Genomic DNA, 7,173 nt, shown 5'->3' with positions numbered 1-7,173 from the left:
TGAGCAACTATCCAGAAGCATCAATATGTGACTATCATGTCTTCAAAACACCCCCCAAATACCCAGAGTACTATGAATTCTCTCTGAAGCACTATGAAGCACCAAGAGGGAATGAAACTTGTTCATCAACTCAAATGTGGATAATTCTGGTGCATGACATAACAAACTGCTTAATAAAGGAGGGTTGTGCCTTGGATTAACCCAGAACAAAATTTTTCATTGAGGCATCTTTGATCTACAGACTGATATCAACCCAACTTTATTTTAATTCTTTCATAATCAAAATTGATTTGTTCATTAGCTCTGTTTCCAATTATATGTTTGTATAATATACAAAATCTTGTGGAATACTTTTCACTTAAAAATAAAATTACATACAAAAGTAAAAGTCATCTAAAACCCCTGCCTCAAAGAGATAAGCAATATTAACATGTCAATATTTGATTTTAAATGATCACTCTTCCCAAACATAGTCAATAATCAGAAAGGAAAATATGAACATATTATTAATCATTGCAGCCGTGGTAGCCAATCTTTTCATAAGGCATACACTCTGTGATTGGACTTTACAAAAATAGCCCACAATCCTCACATAAACTATGAAAAGAAGCTCTTTTACCTGAGGAAAGTTATGTTCAGAAAGGCTAAGGAACATATCCCAAATTACATGGACAGTAAGTGGAGAAGCAGTGCGCAAATGCAGATATATCCAAATCTAAAGCCCTTTCAGTGCCCTGTGCCTCTCAAACACCAGTGTCTCTTCTATTTCTGAAACAGACAAGGCTGGTTTGTATGCTGGGCCGTCGATAATTTTGGCATATTAAACTAATATCTTTTAAATATTCATTCAATAGTTATATAATGGAAACAGAAAAAACTGATTTTTTTTGTGAATGTGTATATTCAGAAACAAATTCACTTACTGATTCACTTCCAAGAACAAATGCAAAGCTAACATTCTTTAAAAATTTAGTAAAATATTCTCTAACTCTCAGTGTTTTCTTCTTTCTCTTTGAGATGTTTTTATTGTTTTCCAACCTAGGCCACTTCTTAGGAGGCAAATTAAAGGGTTTTAACTTGAGATGTGAAAATTATTACTTATTCCCAGTAAACAGTATCACTCAATGCATTAATGCGTTTCAGAATTTCAGCAGAATTGGACTTCATTTACAAGTGGTAAAAAATATGAAGCCAAGATGGGTATTTGCCAGCAAAAAGATATTTTTGCAAAAGCATTTTGCAAAACCCAGTGTCTCTTACTTTGGGGTTTAAAAAGATAAATGATGGTTTTGTAATTCTCCCTTCTTTTGGGGTTTAAAAAGAATAAATGGTGATTTTGTAATTTAACTAGTTTTTTTTTCTGTTTTTTGGGATCAGAGAGATGGTCTTTAGAGACTGTCTATATTTGAACTGGGAGAGGAATCCTATATATTGCTGCTTAAAAGGAGAAAAAAAGTATAGCATAAGAGGACAGAATTATGAAGAACACACTCCCTAAACAGCGGTGGAAGTTTTTCTTCAAGCATCCACAATCCAGTTCAGTCTGAGAAGTCCTTCCAATCCTCTACTATTTCTCAAGTCTTGGCATTGATAGGCCCTCCTAACCTTAGCATCAATGTCCTAAAATTTCATTTCTCTAAAAATTACCCAGCTTGGCAATTTAGAAGATCTAGTCCTTCATTCAGCAAGTATTTCTGGATGGTCTGCACTTAGCTCAGAGTCAGAGATTCACCAGTCTTCCTGGGCCAGTCTGGAGAGCTCCAGCATCACTCCCCAGGTCAGTTCTGCAAAAACCTCTTCAGTTGTCTCTTCATGAGGAAATTCACAAATTTAAATGTTAGACCCTTACATGCAAAGTCAAAAAACTAGTAAATAATAAAATCTCTGTTCTGGATGAAATGGATTAAGGAATCTAACCTGAGTTATCCAGAGCTCAGACAAATAGAGATGATTTTTAGCTTTTAGTCATGAAATCTCATCTCTCTCTCACACACACACACACACACAATTTCTTGAGTTTTACAGATCACTCTGAATTTATGGGTATATTCTTCATTTACGTATAATTCATTCATTCAAAAAATAATTAATGAACACCTACTGTCTACAACATTCTAGATCTTGACTTTTAAGAAGCCCTGGATTACCTTGAAGGAATTTTACACTTAAAATACTTTATATTTTTTAAATTTTCAGATGGATACTTGCTGTATTCTATAATGTTCAAAAAAGCATCTGGCAGGAAGCATATGAGAAAAGCTAAAATAAGACAATAGGTGACGAAGGGAGTTAGACTGAAATTGCCGGGTTCTTTGGACTTAAATACTTCATCTGTCTCATGATTGTGTTTAGGATCAGAAGTGTCTGTTAGTATTAGAACTTTGGTTCTAATTAAAAGGACCCCATGGTCATTTTTAGAAAGTAAGGGATCCATACAGATGTTGTTGTGGTGGGGAGGACTGGTTTATTTTTGAAAACAAGAGTGTGAACAACTCAAAATAAAACATGTAAGAATGAGACTATATAGTAGACTAGGTAAGCTCTCTAGTTCATAAAGTTATATAGAACTGGCTGCAAATCCCACCTTTGCAAACCACTAGTTGTGAAAACCTAGGAGTTATGAAGCCTCTGAGAGTGTCAGTTTTATTATTTGAAATAAAATTCGAAATATATTTATTATTTGAAATAATAACAGAACCTCATAAGTTAGTTTGTGAAGATTCAATATAATGATGCCTGCAAAACACTTACCACAGCTCAGAACAGTGTAGGTGTTCTCAATAATATTGAATTACAAAGAGTCCTTCTTGAAATGTAAGGGGATAACTGTATATCACTTAAAGACTATGCATAAATGTTTAGATATTTTGGGTGAAGATGGTAACATTTAGGGAAAACCTTTCGGAATTCTGAGCTCAGATGAGAATTAATAGATCAATGATGCCCTAAAATCAAGATGGTTATAACACAACTAATGGATCTAGAATTCAGTATTAAGTGCCAGACATTACAACAACAAACTTCTCTCATATTAACACTTCATGCAAACATAGAAACCCTAGTATACTGAAGAGGGTAGTGATATCATCCAAACACCAGGGGGTGCTCTAGTCTACTTTGTGCAGAAGAAACAAGCATGGATCATCCTTGTAAATAGAGAAGATGAAAGGTTTATATCAAAACATGATAAATGGTAGGACATAGACCTTTGGAACAACTCATCATTGTGGATTATATTTAGAATTGACCATAGCTTTATTTTTCTCTATTACTTTGGCTTTCAAACGTGAGCCATAACAGAGGGAAAGCAATGCAAATCGATTTCTAGTTATTAAGCCAATATTACACAGTATGGCTTGTATCACATGGTTTTTTTTAAACTCTCTTTAGAGACTCCATAGTTTGAAAGGTCATTTCCAAGTCATTTGCAGGCAAGAGAGCCTACACAAACAAACAAAATCTACTCAAACAAAATTACTGAATCTTGGCTTCTCAGATTAAGTAATTCAGTCTATTTGATGTGGCATATCTTTCATGTAACCACTCAAGAAAATAGGCATGACCATATATGGCCCCCTTTTACTCAAATATTTATTGATCATGGACTATTGCAAGGCACTGGGAATAAGAAAATTCACAAACATGAATCTTGGTTCCTAACATAATAAATCACCTGACACTGTCTTTTTCCCAAGATTTACATGTGAGTAGGAAGAGACAACTATTATACGTCTAAAAGAACAAATATATGAGAAACTGGACATATAAGTGGACAATGGTCAAGTCATGTTCAAAAACAGAACTCTGACCAACAACCTACAGGAACTTGCCCAGAAAACCAATCCTTTATTTACAATAAACATCCCAGAAAGCCAGACTGCTATAAGTCAGACTTGTAGGGAGTCAGACTGCTATTGCTAGTACTGATACCATAAGCTAAACAATAATTTCTATAACAATCAGCCCCAAATGGCCAGAATTTCATTAATAACTGACAGTTTCTCACATTTTTGTCACTGCTTTCAATATAGGACCAACCAGAAAAAAACAAAAATGCAACCCTAAACAATTACATGGAATATCCAGCTATCATTACCCCACCTGCAGCTTCTCCATGTTAAAGTCTCCAATTAGAGGGTACCTGAGGTCTTCCCACTTCTTCAATTAAGGTGTGTTTGAGGTCTTCCCTTTTCTGCATGATGAAGCTTTTCCACTCCTCTGCCTGCCTTTGAGACTTTGCCAAAATGCAAACATTGGTGGCTGACTCCCTGGCCATGGCAAGTTCTGTATAAACAGACTTTGCTTTCCTCATTTGGTTCATCTTTGTTTATTTCCATATAAATAATATGACAAGTTGAAAGAAGTATTATTGAAAACAACAGATGAGGGTCAAGGAATAGAAATACCTGTGTAGGAGAAAGGCAAAACTTTTCAAGCAAAGACCTAAAGAAAGCGAGAAACTGAGCCATGGGAATATCCAAGGAATGTCTTTCCTATGTGGAGAAAAGAGAGTGCAGCCTTGAAGAGGAAGACTGCTTATGCAGTTTGAGTAACTGCCAGGATTTCAGCTTCTCTTGGGCAATACAGGCAAGGAAAACAATTGCCAGAGATGAGTTCAGAGAGGTAGTGAGGTAGTGAGCCATTGTAAGGGGTTCGACTCTTACTCTGAGTAAGAGGAGATGCCTTTTCAGGCTTAAGCAGAGGAATGACATAATCTGACTTCATTTTTAAAAGACTATCCTGGTTGCTGTATTGAAAATATGTTGTAGGGGTGCAAGGGCTAGGAGACCAGACTGCTGAATGAAGACAAAAAAATGATGGTGGCTTGGATCAGCTGATAGTGGTGGATGTGGTGAGAAGTGATTTGATTCTGGACATATTTGCAGGCAAAACTGACATGCTGATCAGTGGAACCTGAAGACAGAAATACAAAGATGCTATGAGGGTAGCACCGATGTTTTTGGATGAATAAACTCTGCAGGAGAGAATTGCCACTGAGATGGTATAAGCAGTTTGGCGTGGTTATTTGTAACAATTGGCAATTTGGTCTTCGTCATTCTAGATTTGAGATGCCTGTGGAGATTTTCAAGGAAAATAGCAGAGTTGACATTTGCATGTATCTCTGCATTTCAGGGGAGTGCTCCAAGCTAGGGATAAAAATTTGGAAGCTGTCAGCACATACACAGAAATCAGAGCATTTATATTGTCACTCTGGAACACGTAGTGTTTAGAGGTTGGCAAAAAGAAAAATCTCGCCAAAGAGAATGTGAAAAATTCACCAGAGAGGTAAGAAAATAACCAGAAGAAAGTGACATCCCTAGAACTTAACACTGAACAAATAAGGAAGTTGTCAATGGACCACCTTCTTCTCATCTGTTAAGTAAGATGAGAACTAAGAATTCATAGCAAAATTTAACAATGTGGAAATTATCAGTGGCTTTAAAAAGAGTTTTTTATGGGAGTTATGAAGAACAAAGTCCGCTTGAAAATAATTGAAAAGAGAATGGGAGGAAATATATCAAAGAAAACAGAAGAGGCAATTCTATCGATTTTTATTTTTAAAAGAGCTTAGAAATAGCAGTAGGAAGGGGTTGCCATTCAAGGTAAAGTATTCATTTGTTTGATTTTAAAGACTGGCTGTATTGCATGGTTTGAATGCTTATGTAATAATAGGTAAAATCATGACCCACCTAAGATGTCCACATTTTAATCCCCAGACCCTGTGAATATGTTATCTTACATGGCAAAAATCCTTATATGTGATGAAAAATCTTGAAAGGAAGAGATTATGTGATTTTAAAAAAACTCTTGAAATGAAGAGATTATGTAATGAAAAATCTTGAAATGAAAACGTGATGAAAAATCTTCAAGAGATTATGTGGGAATATCTAGGTAGGCCCAGTGAAATCACTAGTTCTGATAAGGGAAAGAAGAAAGCGGAAGAGTTAGAAGAGATGTGAGAGGAGAAAGAGAGAGAGCAAGAGAGAGAGAGAGAGAGAGAGAGGAGAGAGAAAATGCTACACTGATGAATGCGAAGATGGAAGAAGGAGCCATGAGCCAAGGATGAAGGAAGCCACTAGCTGAAAAAAGACAAAGAAATGGACTTTCCCCTAGTGCTGCTAGAAGGAATATAGCCCTGCCTATCTATTTTGGACTTCCGACTCCAAGAAGAGTAACATAATAAGTTGGTGCTCTTTATGCCACTAAATGTTTGTAATTTGTTACAGTAGCAATAGGAAAGCAGTAAAATGCTCTATTAGATTGGAGTAATCCCATTTGGAGTTGTCCCACTTTCCTGGGCCAGACCAGTACACATCTTACACATATTGATTGATGTCTCTCATGTCTCCCTCAAATGTGTTAAAGCAAGCTGTCCTCCGACCACCTCGGACCCTTCCTTAATCTTGGCAAAACACGTTCTAAATTGATTGAGACTCGTCTCAGATATTTTGGGTTCACTTATTATTGAGAATATAAGAGGTGAAATTATTGAGAATAAAAATGTCTAGGCAGTCATTCTCTTGGGCTACATATAAGCCCCACCTGGAGAATTTAAATCAAAACAATTAAATCAACATCTGGGAGGATAGAGCCCAGATGTTAGTATTTTCTTAAATTTCTCCTATATACTTCTAATATTCAGTTAAGATTTGTGTGCCTTTCAAGTAGCTGGCTGAGCTGAAGTAGAAAGTAGGATCATTGGAGATGATGGTGGGGAATGGAGAGGCCCAGGACATCAGCCGGATTATCATAATGTATCATGAATTCATTTTCAATAAAGACAAAAATATTGGTAGAGAAAGCGACAGAAAGGCAAAAGCTAAAATGTTCAAAGAATGAGAGAAAGTGACGCAGGAGTCTTTAAGTGACTATATCAAGTGTGAAGAAGAGGGATAGAAGTATATAATATAATCTGATAGCAAGATCTTTAGATTTGGAGGTTTTAGGACAATGGGAGAGGTATTGATTTAAAGTTGGCAATGACGCTGAATAAGAGGAGAATGCCTCTTTGCTTCCAAGGCTGAAATCAAATTTAGTTGAAGCATTTGGGTCAGTAAAATAGCCTTCCCCTTTCTCTAGATCACTGCAGGCAAAAATACATTTTCAGGGAGGGTGTAGGTGGCCAGGTTTTCCTGGAGCGCACAAGCGATGGAAATATTCATAACGGAGGCT

Source organism: Homo sapiens, chromosome 21, assembly GCF_000001405.40.
Source record: "Homo sapiens chromosome 21, GRCh38.p14 Primary Assembly".
In the NCBI taxonomy this organism is placed as follows: Eukaryota; Metazoa; Chordata; class Mammalia; order Primates; family Hominidae; genus Homo; species Homo sapiens.
This window is presented reverse-complemented; position numbering follows the sequence as displayed.